This window comes from Homo sapiens, chromosome 8 (genome assembly GCF_000001405.40).
Source record: "Homo sapiens chromosome 8, GRCh38.p14 Primary Assembly".
Lineage (NCBI taxonomy): Eukaryota > Metazoa > Chordata > Mammalia > Primates > Hominidae > Homo > Homo sapiens.
In genome coordinates, this window is record NC_000008.11 from 57,854,903 (window position 1) to 57,872,597 (window position 17,695).

At 40.5% G+C, this 17,695-nt stretch overlaps 1 long non-coding RNA gene across 1 annotated transcript in view; it reads left to right on the forward strand.

The window, feature by feature from the left end:
- The first annotated feature begins 575 nt into the window (after positions 1 to 575).
- Positions 576 to 17,695, forward strand: part of LOC105375856 (uncharacterized) — a 103,037-nt gene continuing 85,917 nt past the window's right edge. The window contains exons 1-2 of the long non-coding RNA XR_928921.2: positions 576 to 698; positions 9,492 to 9,716. This is a non-coding gene — a long non-coding RNA (uncharacterized LOC105375856). The remainder of the gene's footprint in view (positions 699 to 9,491; positions 9,717 to 17,695) is intronic.

Sequence of the window (17,695 nt, forward strand, 5' to 3'; positions counted from 1 at the left end):
TCAATTCATAACCCCACTCCCTTTCACCCATGACAAGTTCTCCAGCTAGACAGTGGGCAAACCTCCGCACAATCTACTCTAGCTCTTCTCTTCCCAGCCTGGGAACCCATTCCTTTAAATAACACTCTAAACATCTTAAGCCTGGCCGTGAAATTATAGTCAACTCTTGCCTGTCTCTCAAAACACTGGCAGTACATCAGAAATTGGTAAAATAAAGGGCTGCCTCTGGTAGTTTTGCTTCAATGGCTAGTAAGACCTTTGGGTCATTACAGCTCTTCACAGCTTGATGTGCCTGCACTTCAGAGCCCCATATATTTGACTGTAAAAGTATCATTTCAAGTTCACATAAATCCATCAGCTTTTTCCAGGCACTGGCCAAGCTCACATTTAATGGAACGACCTATTCAGGTTACAGCAGTAGTGATGATCGAAGCAGACAAATAAAAGACCAGTTGAAGAACAGCCAAAACCTGTCTCTGCTCACGTTGCTCTCAAGGTTGCCACGTCCACCTGACGTGCATCTGCATCCTGCTGCCCTGAGATGTTGCTAAGTGACCAGCAACCAGGCTCAAAAGCTACAACGCCTGCTGCTGCAGTGCAAAAATAAACAGTTCAGAACGCCAGTTTGGAACCAGTATCAGGAAGCAGTTGGATTTTCTGATGCAAAGGGGATTTTTGCTTCTGCCTGAGAACAGCCGGTGAGTCTCACAGCTCTCTGGGTGATCCCACTCCTCAGGGGGAGACAACAGTTATGTCGGCAGAGTGAAACCGGCTGCTGTCCTTAAGATTTGTGATTGCTACCTTATAGACTCTTCCATCTCTCTATGTAAATAAACCAAGCCTGGAGAGTCTCAAGGGCACCTCTGTCAAACAAAACAGACTTTGAACTTCTTCTGCTGGAGAGTTTTCTGGTAACATAATTTTCACTCCAGTAAAGGTACACAAACCAACGTGATGGTGGTGAAGCACAGAAAAGACTGTCATGAGCTGGAGTCGATACGTGTCCAATGGCTGCTTCAAGCACTTGGATTTCCTATTCCTTAGAGAAGTAGATATAGATTTCGTTATACTTAAAAATCACAAAGTTCTATGCATTTGGTTTCAAGCTAGCCTTTTTTGTTGATGAAGTAAAATATCAAAGTAGGAATTTTCTATCCAAGTTCAAAAAATGTTGATACTAAGAAAATTAAATTAGATGTGGTTTGCTTACTTTTGAATATGCAATCATAAAAATAAATACATACATCAACAAAATTGCAAATGGCAAGTTTATCGTGAAATTGTGTAACTCTTCTTCTCTTGATTTAAATAACTGGCATTGGCCAGACTGGGTAATTAGAACTCAGCCATTAAATCCAGCTGATAGGAAACTGACAGGAGGTTCTCCTGGCCTTGAGTACCTGATGCCAACAGTCAGAATAGAGATGTACAAGTCAGCAAAAGCAGTGTGTGCACATGCATGTGTGTATGTGAGAAAGAGAGTAAAAGAGAGAGAAGGAGAGAGAGAGAGAGAAGGAGAGAGAGAGAGAGAAGGAGGGAGATTTTGGGTTAACAGACACCACTACCACTCTCTGTGATGCATGTTTGTCTGCAAAGGTGAAGTACGAACAGACCCAAAAGCAACAGCAGAAAAAGGAAACTCACTGGGCAGTAGTGACACAGAAGTAAGTAACATTTTGGATATAGGCTATTAGTGATTGGAGAAATAAACATCTCCTTATATACCTCTCTGTTATGGACTGAAATATGTCCCTTCAAAATGCAAATGCTCAAGTCCTAACCCCAATACCTCAGAGTATGGCTGTATTTGGAGACAGTGCCTTTAAAGAGGTCATTAAGGTAAAATGAGATTATATGGGTGGGCCCTAATCCAATGTGACTAGTGTCCTTATAAGAAGAAGAGATTGGAGCTCAGACAGGCATACACAGAAGGAAGACCATGTGAAAAAAACCAACCCACTGACTCTTGAACTACCAGCCTCTGGAGCTGTGAGGAGCTAAATTCCTGTCGTTGAAGCTACCTGGCCTGTAGTCCCTTGTCATAGCAGCCCTAAGAAACCAGTACACTCCCCTTGACTGACCTCCTCCCAGATATCCAGTAGCTCTTCCTCTGAATACAGTCAAGTCCCTTCTAGTCTTAATGACCAATAATAGGCAGTGGTTTTGTGATTTCAAGAGCAGGGAGATGGCACCAGGAGAAGGTGGAGAACGTGTCCCTACCTTCTATGCCTTCCAAAATTCATACTTATCTCCTTTCTGGATTCATAGAAAATCAAGACCAAGTTGTTGTAAAAGAAATACATTTTCTTCATTAGACTTTTCTAAAATATTCTACTATCACAAATCAGTCAGACTCCTGTTAGCAGTTCACAGTTTTAACAGGGGAGAGACATTTATAACACATCCCTCTCAAGAAACAAGAATGTGTTTCTGTCATTGGAAACGAGTCCTGACATCTATGTATCACCTTGGGCAACACAATTATTTCTGTTTTAGTTACATAAAAGAGTCCTTTTGAAAGAATTACAAAGCATTTACAAATACAAGCAAGTCAAATGATAAGAACAGTTTTCTTTTTCTCCTAAAGCCTATCAAGCAATGGAATTTCATAACTGGATATCATTTTTCTCTCTTAGGGAAGATGTCAATTACATATGTAGCAACAGCAATTTTAATAGCAAAATATGCCTACATAAATTCTATGGAACTATATTGTTTGAGGGATTTAATAGCATTACTAAAGAAATTATGTGCATAACAAATGAAAAGCTAACTAATTAAACCAACAGAGGTTGTAAATTTGTCTTTTGTCCCTAGCTGTAAACAATGAAAAAGGAAGCTCAAATTCAAACATCTACTCTAGTTAATAATTTTCTGTGAAAGACAATATTGGTGGATAACCCAACTGACATTCAGGCTCCATTCTCCTTTGCCTGTCTTCACTAGAATCTTTCTTATCCTCCTTTCTAACCTCTCTTGCAATGCAGGGGAACCATGTGCCACACAATGAGATGAAAGTAAATGTCTTCACTGTGGGGCATGGGAAGGCTTGTAGAAAGGTGTTTGAATTTTTGATAAAATAAATTAATGAAATTGCACTATCCCTTTTCTTTCTTCCTCTCCTCAATATGCATGTGATTCTTAGAGGTGTGTAGCCTTCTTGTGATATAAAGGCAATGTGCATAGATATTAATGACTAACACATTGAGGATAGTGTAATCAAGACTGGGAGCAGGGAGGGAGGCAGGTGCAGTGGCTCACACGTGTAATCCCAGCACTTTGGGAGGCTGAGGCAGGCAGATCACTTGAGCCCAAGAGTTTGAGACCAGACTGGGCAACATAGCAAACCCCTGTCTTTACAAAAAATACAAATTACCCAAGCATGGTGGTGTCTGCCTGTAGTCCCAGCTACTCCTGAGGTTGAGGGGGGAAGATAACCTGAACCTGGAGGTTGAGGCTGCAGTGAGCTATGATTGTTCCACTGCACTCCAGTCTGGGTGGCAAAGTGAGACATTGTCTTAGGGTGAAAAAAAGCAAAAAGAAAGAAAGAGAGTGGGAATAAAAGAATAAGTCTTGCTGGCATTGTTGAGAAACTACAACTAACAAACTAACACTAGTGACCATTTGCCTCCAGACTTTCTTTTATACTTTATGAGAAAAATAAACCCCTACCAGTTTAAGGCATTATTAGTTGGATATTCTGCTACTTTTAAGTGAAATTACTCCCAACTAATTACTGTCTCCCTCTGGTTTGTAAGAGGATTGTGCATCTCCACCTATCTATTGTCATATAACTAGCAGTGCTCCCTCACTGTGGAAGCAGAACATCCATTCCCTATCGTTGTTAGGCTTGGCCAACTCAGGTACTTTGGCCAATAGGCACCAAGAGTTTTTCCCAACCATCTCATTCTATTCCCACTTCCATGAGAATGGTATGTCTGCCATGAGAAGGCCATGGGAATGGCTGCTCCTTCAGCATGTAGTGCAATAATAAGATGAGGTATGGAAAAGGTGAACAGCAGCCAGCTTATGGTAACCACTGTGCAACATGAGTGAGATTTGGAAGGTTTCTTGTTACCACAGCTTGTTGCAAAGCAGACAAAATACAAAAACAATACCAGAAATGGGTGTGGCCATGTGATATGCTTTGACCAATGAAATATGACCTGAAGTGATGTCTGTTGTGACAGGCAAATCACTCAGGGAATTTCCAGCAGCCTTTTGCTATATTCCCTTTGTAATAAAAATGACTTGTCTGGATCCCAGAGAAGAAATTAGAACAAAGTCCTAAGACCTGACCTGCAGCTGCTGGCAGGAAAAGTGAATGAGAAATAAAATGTCTCATTCACTTTGGCACTCATAAAATGTCATAAACAATGGCATTATTTTTACTTGAATTACCATAATGTGTGTGTATGTGTGTGTGTGTCTTAATCTTCTTTCTCCTGTTAGTTTGCCATTCTTAGACCCCAAGCCTTATGTCTTAGTCCCAGGGGAGTGAGAAGAGGGTCACAGAATCCTGACCTGACCTCTGCTGTACCACTTGGCAGAGATCTGTTGATTTGTCTGTAAAATGAATGTAATAATAAAGTAACATAGCATTTCTCAAAGAATGTTTTGAATAACCTAACTTCTGCAGGAAGTTAATAGGTGTTGCATGAAGAAAAAAGATAATGTATGATCAACTAAGTCTGAGAGATACTAGGCTAAACAAATTCAAGCAGATTTATTACCTTAAGTTTCCTCAGAGCTTTTAATGTGTTAATGTATATTGCAAATCTTGATGGAAGTTTGGTTTTCAGGTCTCCTAAACTGTCTTTTGTCTCAGGACCATTTTTATTTTCAGAGCATCTCTTAGAACCAGGGTTTCACATATAATAATTTAGAACACAAGTGTTCTACGAGTGGAAGTACACATTTGCCTAGAAGTGACCATGCAGCAATGCTTGTGAGCTGCTATTATTGGGAAGAAACCCACACCTGGACTCCGGCAGAGTCATGGGCCTGCCCATAAGGACAGTGGTTTCCAGCTCCTGCTCCAAGTAGCAGGTAACCCTTCCCACCAAAGTGGCTTTGCAAGGTCCCTACAGTTCACAGAGAAAGATGATCACCTGGAGATCATTCAGTATGCCAAACACCAGGTAATTCAGATTGCAGCCAGAAATGGTAGAACAGCCAGCATTCTGCAGAGCCTTAAACAGAAATTTATTATAAAAACCTAGTACTTAAAACTTTACTTCAAGTAAGTGTATAATCAAAGACCAAGAATTCTCTGCAATGAATAGGGCCCTGAGCAAAAATGGCATTCTCACCAGATAAAGCCTGCAATAAGAAATAAGGGACATAAAGGTGAGTGTGGAAACTGGAAGAAGGGGCTGAACATGGTGGTTCATGCCTGTAATCCCAGCACTTTGGGAGGCCAAAATGAGATGATTGCTTGAGCCCAGGAGTCTGAGACCAGCCTGGGCAACATAGTGGGACCCCATCTCTACTCAAAAAAAAATTTTTTAATCAGCTAGGCATGGTGCACAACTGTAGTACCAGCTACTGGAGAGGCTGAGGTGCGAGGCTCACTTGAACCTAGGAGTTGGAGCTTGCAGTGAGCTATGATCATGCCACTGCATCCAGCCTGGGTGACAGAGTGAGACCTTGTCTGAAAAAAAAAAGAAAAGAACTGAAACAAGAAAAAGGAACAGTGTAGAAAGTGCAAGAAGCAAGGAGAAGGAGAAAGAGGAGACCCAAGGCAAATCCTGAGACCAGTTCAACACATCTAGAGAGCTGTAAGAAAGAAGGACCAGCAATCAGTATAAGGTCACATTCAATACCCTTTGTAGTGAATTAATGTGTAGACTTTTCCAATAATGTAGATTTAATTCTGGGCAGAGAAGAGAAGAAAGGTGTCCAGTTTTCCCTCTTGCATCTCTGGAGAATGAGTGTGAGTAGAGACATTCCAGCCTGGGCCAAAGTGCATGGAGTGTACCTGGAGAGGCCTGTGGCAAGGTGAGAATGACAAATCAATATCATTGTCATAGTAGAAGCCAAGGTCCAAATGCAAGGCATGGATGGACATGAGAGAGAATATATTCCGGTCATTAGCAAAAAAAGAATGGAATCAAGACAAAATCAGAAATGCAGAGAAGCTCAAGGGGGCAAAGTTCAGTAGTACAAAGACTGTCAGGGTAGTCCTGTTGGAGCTTTAGGTTTCATGCTCTTTGGAAGAGCAGGCAGGCAGGTTATGGAGGTACCATGTTTGGACAGCTCGCCCTGGGGAAATAGTTATCTCCTCCACTTGTAGTTTCACTACAAAGCCCAGATGATACACAATTGCTGGCTGTACTCCTTTTTGGTCCTGTCCAAAGAGGACGCAGAAATCTGGCAGAACACTCAGCCCCCTGCTGCGTATGGAAGGCAGAACAGCTCTTTCTGCCTCCTGCAGGTCTCTGCAAGCCTGGCCTGCCAGGACTTTCATGCTGACCTACTTTTTAGTGCAAGGACTTGGACGTCTTCCCACCTGTCCTAACCATGGATGAAAGCCTAAAATCCAGTTATGGCACAACTTTCTTTTCCTCCTAGTTCCCTAATTTTTGCTCCTTCTCCATGCTGCTCCCTACTTCTCTGTATAGGTGGATGCCTTGTTAAGCCTGAGTGAAGAGACACAGTCCTTGTTAGCACAAACATACAAACAATGTGAGGAATAAAAAGCGCTTCCTTCTAGTCTTTTGGGTTCTCTGGCTCAACTAAAAATTAAATCAACATAGATGGATTAACTAGGGAAAATATTAATGACGTACATACAGGCTAGAGTCCAACAAAAATATGAGACTTCAGGAAGGAGCCAGATGATTGAGACTTACATATTATCCTGAGCTACAGAAAGGAATATGGGTTTGGGGCTTGTTTGGGGGGATGGGTGTAGAGACAAAGTATGGGAAGGAGAGGGAGAGAGCCTTGTCCTTTTATGCCAGGAGTCTCCCAGGTAATGAAAGTTGTCTTGGAATAGCTCTCTTCCTGGTACAATATCTTTACTCTGAAAATTTCTTTATAAATGTAAATTTCCTTTCAAAAGGGGAAATTTATATTAAATACTTTAGGCAGTTGACAGGGGGTGATATGGTTTGGCTGTGTCCCCATCCATATCTCATCTTGAATTGTAGTTCCCATAATCCCCATGTGTCATGGGAGGGACCTGGTGGGAGGTAATTGAATCATAAAGGCAGTTACCAACATGCTGGTCTCATGATAGTGAGTGAGTTTTCATGAGATCTGATGGTTTTTAAACGGGCTTTTCCCCCTTGGGTTGGCACTTCTCCTTCCTGCCATCATGTGAGGAAAGTCATGTTTACTTCCCCTTCTGGCACGATTGTAAGTTTTCTGAGTCCTCCACAGCCATGCAGAAACTGTGAGTCATTTAAACCTCTTTTTTTACAAGTTACCCAGTCTCAGGCAGTTCTTCATAGCAGCATAAGAATACAGGAAATTGGTACCAAGTAGGTTGCTGCTATAAAGACACCTGAAAATGTGGAAGCCACTTTGGAACTGGGTAACAGGCAGAGGTTGGAACAGTTTGGAGGGCTCAGAAGAAGACAGGAAAATGTGGGAAAGTTTCGAACTTCCTAGAGACTCAGAGGGCTCAGAAGACAGAAAGATGTAAGAAAGTTTGGAACTTTCTAGAGACTTCTTGAATGTTTTTGACCAAAATGTTGATAGTGATATGGACAATGAAGTCCAGGCTGAGGTGGTCTCAGATGGAGATAAGGAACTTGTTGGGAACTGGAGCAAAGGTGACTCTTGTTATGCTTTACCGAAGAGACTGGTGGCATTTTGACCCTCCCCTAGAGATCTGTGGAACTTTGAACTTGAGAGAGATGATTTAGGGTATCTGGTGGAAGAAATTTCTAAACAGCAAAGCCTTCAAGAGGAAGCAGAACATAAAAGTTTGAAAAATTTGCAGGCTGACTATGAGGTAGAAAAGAAAGCCCCATTTTCTGGGGAGAAATTCAAGTCAGCTACAGAAATTTGCATAAGTAACAAGGAAACAAATGGTAATCACCGAGACAACAGGGAAAATGTCTCCACCTAGGAGAAAAAAGTGGGCTGGGCCCAGGGCCCCCCTGCTGTGTGCAGCGTAGGAACTTAGTGCCCTGCACCCCAGCTGCCCTAGCCATGGCTGAAAGCGGCCAAGGTACAGCTCAGGCCGTGGCTTCAGAGGGTGCAAGCCTCAAGCCCTCGCGGCTTCCACATGATGTTGGGCAAGCGGGTGCAGAGAAGACAAGAATTGAGTTTTGGGAACCTCTGCCTAGATTTCAGAGGATGTATGGAAACACCTGGATGTCCAGGCAGATGCCTGCTGCAGGGTTGGAGCACTCATGGAGAACTTCTGCTAGGGCAGTGTGAAAGGGAAATGTGGGGTCAGAGCCCCACACAGAGTCCCCACTGAGGCTCCGCCTAGTGGAGCTGTGAAAAGAGGGCCACCATCCTCCAGACCCCAGAATGGTAGATCCACTGACAGCTTGCACCATGCACCTGGAAAAGCCACAGACTCTCAATGCCAGCTGTGAAAACAGTCTACAGGGGAGCTATACCCTGAAAAGTCATAAGGAGGAGCTGCTCAAGGTTGTGGGAGCCTATCTCTTGCATCAGTGTGACATGGATGTGAGACATGGAATCAAAGTAGATCATTTGAAACTTTAAGGTTTAATGACTGCCCTATTGGATTTCAGATGTGCATGGGGCCTGTAGTCACTTTGTTTTGGCCAATTTCTCCCATTTGGAATGGGTGTATTTACCCAATGCCTGTACATACATTGTATCTAAGAAGTAATTAAGTTGCTTTTGATTTTACAGGCTCATAGTTTGAAGGGACTTGCCTTGTCTCAAGTGAGACTTTGGATTTGAACTTTTGGGTTAATGTTGGAATGACTTCAGACTTTGGGGGACTGTTGGGAAGGCATGATTGTGTTTTGAAATGTGAGGACATGGGATTTGAGAGGGGTAAGGATCAGAATGATATGGTTTGGCTTTGTGTCCCCATCCAAATCTCATCTTGAATTGTAGTTCCCATAATCCCAATGTGTTGTGGGAGGGACTCAGTGGGAGGTAATTGAATCATGGAGGTGGCTATCCCCATGCTGCTGTTCTCATGATAGTGAGTGAGTTCTCACAAGATCTGATAGTTTTATAAGAGGCTATTTTCCCTTTGCTTGGCACTTCTCCTTCCTGCCATCATGTGAAGAAGGATCTGTTTTCTCCCTTCCGGCATGATTGTAAGTTTCCTAAGGCCACCCCAGCCATGCAGAACTGTGAGTCAATTCAACCTCTTTCCTTTATAAATTACCCACTCTTGTGCAGTTCTTTATGGCAGCATGAGAATGGACTAATACAAGAGGTAACAACCTTTTCCTGCATTGGCTGATTTTTAATTTCAGTCTGTTCAAAACAATCAATATGCCAAAGTTGTATACTTTGGAGTGACATGTCCTGAACTCCCACAGAGATTATGTCATAAGAAAGGGGCAGAAGAAGCATCACCAACTCTAAGGAACCAAAGTCTCTCCAGCCACCAAAATGAATGCAGCTGCCACTTAGGGGAAGTGGACAAGGACAGAACCACCCAGAGATGATGGTGAGAAAAGGCAGAAGGCCTGGGAGCTGGAAAATGACTCCATGGAGTAAAAGATCACAGCATCCTTTGGGACAAGACCGATGTTCATGACAAGGTAATAGCAAAATTATTTTCTTTCTGATGAGGCTCTGTTCTTATACTCCCTCCCAGAGGCTGCAGGCCTGATGGTTGTAAGCCTTACTGGGCAGAGAGACACCCAGCCCTGCCTAGAGGTGGTACTGAAGAAAGGGCTGGGGCTGCATGAAATTTTAAATTTTAAAAACCAACTGAGAGCCAGTTTGCTCTTCATTATCACTGTGCCCCAATACTTCTAAACAATATCAGTGACAAAATAGTCTTCTATGTAACATCTTTTTAGGTCTAAATTCTAGATCATTGCTATGCTTTCTGTTGAGTTTTGTTTTAACTGGAGTAAAATACACATAACATAAAATTTACCATCTTAACCATTTTTAAGTATACATTTCAGTGCCATGAAGTGCATCCACATTTTTATGCAACCATCACCATCATCCTTCTCCAGAACTTTTTTCATTCATTTTACAAAACTGAAACTCTGTATCCATGAAGCATAACTCCTCATTCTTCCCTGCCTCACGCCCTGGCAACCGTCATTCTACTTTCTGTCTCTTTGATTCTGACTGCTGTGGGCACCTCGTGTAAATGAAAATAGACAATAATTATATTTTTGTTGCTGGACTATTTCATTAACCACAGTGTCCTCAAAGTTCACCCAGGGTACAGTATGCGTCAGAATTTCCTTCCTTTTGAAGGCTGAATAATGTTTCATTGATGTGTATACTACATTCTGTTTATTCATTCATTTGTGGATGAACACTTGGGTTGCTTCTTCCTTTAGGCTATTATGAATAATGCTGTTATGAACATAGATAGGTATGTAATTATCTCTCCAAGATATGGCTTTCAATTCTTTTTGGTACATACCCAAAAGTGGAATTGCTGGCCATACGATAATCCTTTTTTTTTTTTTTTTTTTGTCATTTGAGGAACCGTCACGCTGGCTTTTTCCATAGTGTCTGCAAAATTTTAGATTCCCACCAATGGTACACAAGGGTTCCTTCCAATTGCTCCACATCCTGCCGACACTTGTTATTTTCTGGTTTTTGATGGTAGCCATCCTAATAGATGTGACATGGTATCTACTTGTGATTTTCTTTCATTTTCCTAATGATTACTGATGTTGGGCATCTTTTCGTGTGCTTATTGACCATTTCTACGTCTTCTTTGCAGAAATATCTATGCAAGTCTTTTACTCATTTTTAAATTGGGTTGCTTTAGGTTTTTTGTTGATTTGTTGCATTTTAATACTCTCTTTGTATGCTTCAAGCTAGAACTTTTCTATTACCTATCTTTTAATAAACATTATATTCAGCAAGGAAGATAATTTACAGAATGCCCATTGTGCAGTCAATCCCCCAGACAGGCAGACTCAACCACACAAGTTCTTTTACAGAGTATGTTTATAACAGGAAGGTTTCATATAACTTCAGGTGCAGTTTATTTCTCTAACCCATACAGAACCACATCTTCCTGCATTAAAATATATTCTAAATGAAAAATGATAGAACAGTAATTATGACAACAAAGAAATAGAATTTGAGCTATTTCAATTCTGCCATTCCATATGACCCTTAGAATTTTTATGTACATCTAAAATTTAAAACAGTGTGCTAGACACAAACTTGTTGTTTTAGAAAATTAATAAATTTTACAAATTTTAGTTTATGCATAAAACATTTTACTGAATCTAAGCAATATCTTTAAATTTGAAATGTGCTTGTTTTTAATTATTAGTCATCCAAGAAAATAAAATGTGACATTTTTAATGGTAGTCAAAATTGGATCATTTGCAACATTTTGGTGTTATTATATTTTTCTAAATAGAATTATTTTTCCTGGCATCTTTAGAAGCTTCAATAAAACACAGTGTTTATTGTCTGTATTTCTTTTCTGGCCTCTGTTATTATTATTTATGCCATTTTAAAATTATTACTGAAAATAATCTTATTGTATAGGGAAGAAAGGTGCTATCAGTGGTCCACACTGGGGTCACACACAGTAAGTGAGCCACCAATTTTCACACACTTCCCATGTCCTCACAAGCTTTCCTTTCCTGCATCAGGGGTGGCAGCAGGGGACTGTGATGTAGTCCGTGCAGAGCTGTCCTTGTCACAGGACAGAAGAGTACAGTGTTGTCCCAAATGCTCAAAAAGTCCCCACTAAATGACTGTGACATGATTAAAATCATCATTTTAGCAGAATGATTTTTAAAATAGCTTAAATATAGCAAGGGGATGAAGCAGAAGACAAAGAACCAGGAAGCAGCTGAACACAGAAATGCCCTCTGTGTCATAACAGTGACAGCCTTAAACAGCTCCCACTGCATTTCCCTCATGAGTGAAGGTTTTTCACTTGAACCGTGGGTAACACTGTACAACTTGTGTTCAACTCGGAGCTACTAGTCTGGAAAGATCAGCAGAACCTGAATTGAACATTGTTTCTCAGACCATCCAGACGTGAAGAGGAGGATGCCAGGACAGCCGCCCCACTATTTGGGAAATGGAACAAATCTGGCCAGAACCTTGCTGGTGGAGGCCGAGTGGCAGCTGCCGAATGCTAAGCTGAGAAATGGCTAAGGCTGCCAGAGTCAACTTTCCTGATCCTTTCGGCTGGCTTTGAGGAGTAAAAAAATCTGTGGTTTCCATAAATCCAGAGCTGCCTTGGGCCCATGTCCAAACTGGCCACTGTCCTTCTGTTCCACAGAAACTTTTTTTTTTTTTTGAGACTCCGTCTCTCTCTGTCACCTAGGCTGGAGTGCAGTGGCGTGATCTTGGCTCACTGTACCCTCCGCCTCCTGGGTTCAAGCAAGTCTCTGCCTCAGCCTCCCGAGCAGCTGAGATTATAGGCACCCACCACCACGCCTGGCTAATTTTTTTGTATTTTTAGTAGAGACAGGGTTTCACCAACTTGGCCAGGTTGGTCTTCAACTCCTGACCTCGTGATCCACCCGCCTCGGCCTCCCAAAGTGCTGAGATTACAGGTGTGAGCCACCACGCCTGGCCTCCACAGAAACTCTTACTGCCAAAGGTCTTGATCTCCTTTTCCTTTTTAAATAAAATGTGCTTTCTGCATTTAGCTTCTTTCCGAACTCCTCTACAGTGAAGCAGATGAAATGCGTTTGTTACTTAGGGGGAAAAGAAAATATATTCTTTGACATATAAGATTCTCTGCAACCCAATCCATTTTTGAATTCTATAGTGAAGTACAACATACAACAGAAACATGCACAACTTCTAAGTGAACAGCCTGATAATTTGTCACTAAGTGAACTTCCCATTGTAACTAACACCAGGTCAGGAAAGAAACCATTACCAGCCTCCTGGTAGACCTTGAGTCTCCTTCTAGTCCTTATTCTCTAGCAAAGTTAACCATTGTCCTCACTTCTATCATCATAGGTTAATTTTGCCTGCATTGAACTCTGTGGAATTTCACCATGTGTGCTCTTATATGACTGTCTCTTTAAGCACAACATTATGTACATGAGAATCATTTTGTTGTGTGTGTTCATTTATTCTCATTTCTATTTAGTATTCCATTGTAAGAGTATAACACAATTCATTTATCCAACCTGCTATTCATGGGCATTTGAGATGCTTTCAGTCTGAGGTTATTATAAATAGTGCTAACTGTGGATATTCATATACATGTTTTTGGTGTCATGAATTTACTTACTTCTCTGAAGAGTAGGATCTCTCTCAGAGTGCAATTGCTAGGTCATAAGATACGACAAATTCACTGATACTACCAAAGAATTTTTCAAGGTATTTGTACGGATTTAAGTTCTCATCAGCCATGCAGCCATGTGGTCAGTGCCTAGTAGTATCACATTACAGTTTGCATTTCCCTGATAACTAACACAGTTTATCGCCTTTCCCTATGCTTACTAGAATTTCAGAAGTCCTATTTTATTAAATACCTGTTTATGTCTTTTGCCTACTTTCCTGTTGGGTTCTCTGCCTTTTTCTTTTTTTGTTTTGTTTCTAAATATTTTTTATTATTATACTTTAAGTTCTGGGGTACATGTGCAGAACGTGCAGGTTTTTTACATAGGTACACACGTGCCATGGTGGTTTGCTGCACCCATCAGCCCATCATCTACATTAGGTATTTCTCCTAATGCTATCCCTCCCCTAGCCCCCCACCCCCCAACAGGCCCGGACGTGTGATGTTCCCCTCCCTGTGTCCATGTGTTCTCATTGTTCAACTCTCCCACTTATGAGTGAGAACATGCGGTGAGGTATTGCTATTCACAAGAGGCCATTAGCTGCGGGGGTTCTGCCTGCAGACCTTGACCTAAATGACAGGTGAATAAAACGTACACTGGCACACAGGTACTCTGTTTTGCCAGTCCAGCTGAGTGTCTGACCACCTACACACAAAGAAAGGCTTGTTACTGTGGCTGGCCTTGAGCAGCTCGCACTCTAGGCATTTATTTGTATACAATTAAAAACAGAAGTTCTGAGTCAACACACTTGTGGATTATTAATGTGGTTAAGAGAGTAGTTCTAGGAATTATTAAAGCTCAGGTACTGCTGTTTAAAGTAAATACTGTTGGGGGCAATATCTTTAGTCGACTTCCTCCTGGGAGGGCTATCTGGCTCAAAGGTTAGTTAATGAAGGTACGGTAAACAGACTTCACTGGGGAAGCCTCTATTGTCCTTAGTATTTACCTTATGACTTAATGCTCTAAGGTAAGAACTGCCTGCCTTCAGCCTGTTCAATTATTACAAGCTATGTAAACTTTTGTCTTTCTAAAAGGTTTGTGACTATTTCCTATAACTTTCCTTAATATTTCTTTTTAATATTTCTCCACCATCCTAAGTGAATCACAACAATACAGTGTTTGGTTTTCTGTTCCTGTGTTAGTTTGCTAAGAATTATGTTTTCCAACTTCATCCAGGTCCCTGCAAAGAACGTGAACTCACCCTTTTTTATGGCTGCGTAGTATTCCATGGTGTATATGTGCCAGATTTTCTTTATCCAATCTATCATCAATGGGCATTTGGGTTGGTTCCAAGTCTTTGCTATTGTGAACAGTGCCGCAATAAACATACATGTGCATGTGTCTTTATAGTGAAAAGATTTATAATCCTTTGGGTATACACCCAGTAATGGGATTGCTGGGTCACATGGTATTTCTGGTTGTAAATCCTTGAGGAATCACCACACTGTCTTCCACAATGGTTGAACTAATTTACGCTTCCACTAACACTGTAAAAGCGTTCCTATTTCTCCACATCCTCTCCAGCATCTGTTGCTTCCTGACTTTTTAATGATTGCCATTCTAACTGGCATGAGATGGTATCCCATTGTGGCTTTGATTTGCATTTCTCTAGTGACCAGTGATGATGAGCATATTTTCATGTGTCTGTTGGCTGCATAAATGTCTTCTTTTAAGAAGTGTCTGTTTATATCCTTTGCCCACTTTTTGATGGGTTTGTTTTATTTTCTTGTAAATTTGTTTAAGTTCTTTGTAGATTCTGGATATTAGCCCTTTGTCAGATGGATAGATTGCAAAAATTTTCTCCCATTCTGTAGGCTGCCTGTTCATTCTAATGATAGTTTCTTTTGCTGTGCAGAAGCTCTTTAGTTTAACTAGATCCCTTTTGTCTATTTTGGTTTTTGTTGCCATTGCTTTTGGTGTTTTAGTCATGAAGTCTTTGCCCATGCCTATGTCCTGAGTGGTATTGCCTATGTTTCTTCTAGGGTTTTTATGGTTTTAGGTCTTACATTTAAGTCTTTAAGCCACCTTGAGTTAATTTTTGTATAAGGTGTAATGAAGGGGTCTAGTTTTAGTTTTCTGCATATGGCTAGCCAGTTTTCCCAACACCGTTTATTAAATAGGGAATTTGTATAGCCAAGACAATTCTAAGCAAAAAGAACAAAGCTGGAGGCATCACCCTACCTGACTTCAAACTATACTACAAGGCCACAGTAACCAAAACAGCATGGTACTGGTACCAAAAAAGATATATAGACCAATGGAACAGAACAGAGGCTTCAGAAATAATGCCACATATCTACAACCACCTGACCTTTGACAAACCTAACAAAAACAAGCGATGGGGAAAGGATTCTCTGCCTTTTTCTTACTGATCTTTATAGTAACAGAGAAAGAACATAAATGAATGCCTTGTTTGCAAATTTTTACAGATATCTTCTCACACTCCATGGCTTGTCTTTTTACACTCTTAGCAATGTGTTTTAATAAACACAAGTTCATAATTTCAATGAAGACCAACTTGGCATCTATGGTTAGCTCTTTTTGTGTCTGGTTTAAATCTTTGCCTTATCCAAGAATCCAACTTATTTTCAAAGCCCTATTTAAAATCAGACAGTCTGGCTAAGTATCCATCTCATTTGAAAGCTGCTGTTCCCTATGGTAACCCCTCTGAACTCTGTTTTTCCTCTCTTCTTCTTCCCCACAATATGTAAATGCCATGAACAATGATGTTTAATTCCATGAGTTTGATTATATTGCTCTGTTAAAGTACATGAAAATCTCCCAGCACCGTACCGAAACTTGTCTCTTGAGTCTTTTACATATCTGTAAAATTGTACATATTGGTTTACAAACCAATCTTTTCACTGCCACTAGACAAAGAAAGAACTGTCACTCTGGACCTGCCACTCTGGTGAGGCTATCTACAGCTGCCTTTCTTCTAGGAAAGAAGAAATTGTTCCTACACTGACAGAAATTGCCAACAGGAAAATCCTTCATCTGGCTTTTTAAAACATTCTTTCTCAGTAATGAGTTTTGAGATTTTCATACACAATCTGCTATACCAAAAGCCAATCAAAATTTTGGTTGCATTTGTGGCACCGAGAAGACTGTGGAATTTGAAATCAGAAAAATTTGAACCAACTTGCAGCTCCATTGTTTGCTTTTTCTTGGCCACTGGGGGAAGTAGAGTACTTAAACTTTCTGAACTTCCGTTTCCATATCTGTAAAAAAGGAATGGTAATGACTATTTGATAGAGTCTGGAGGGGCCTTAGATGAGATAGATAAATTATCTGAAAATATTTGCATACTCTAAAACATGCATACATTAAAAGTCACCCATATTATTACTGCAATAATTAGGAATTTTAAATACAAATTCATTAGATTGATAATAGCAACTAACATTTATTGAACTTACTGTATGTCCTCTGCAGCACTCTTATAAGCATTTTACATATCTTAACTCATTTAATTTCTTCAACAACCTATAGGTAGGTTTTATTAAAATGCTCATTTCCAGATGAGGAAACAGAGGCACAGAAAGATTGAGTGGCTCAGGGAAGGTCATACAGCTGCTGAAGTCAACAGAATGTTAGTCCAGGGGGAAGGCTGCATGCAGAGTTTACCTGCCTAAGAAAATTACACAGTCCCCATGGTCTTGGGCTTGATTTATAGAGAATCCTCAATGCCATATGGTGAGAACGGTAGGAGGGATTTGGAACTTCTGGCCAGACATCATTGTTAGACTGCTTCAGTGAAGGATGGGTTTCTATCACAACTTCACAGAACCTTTGTTTTAGAAGAAGGAAGGGAATTAATATATGTTGAATGGCTACATAAATCTGTTATTAGGTACTGTACAACCTCATGACACAGATATTGTTATTACCCAATTTTATCAATAAGAAATGAAGATTTATGAAGATCAAATGGCTGGCTTAACATTCACAGAGTTAGGAATAGCATCAAAACTCAGACTCAGGTATAAGCAGCTCTTTTTCCTAGTGGTCCAGTGTGGACCACGGTTAGCACCTCTCTTCCTTATACAATAAAATTATTTTCAGTACTAATCTTAAAATGGCATAAAAAATAACAATAATAGTGGCCAGAAAAGAAATACAGAAAATAAACATTTTATTTTTTTGAAGCTTCTAATAATGCCAGGAAAAACAATTTTATTTAGAAAAATAAAATAAAACCAAGCTTTTCACAATTCATCATTTAACCAAAAAGCATGTATCACTTGTATCATCTGAAAAAAGGGAGT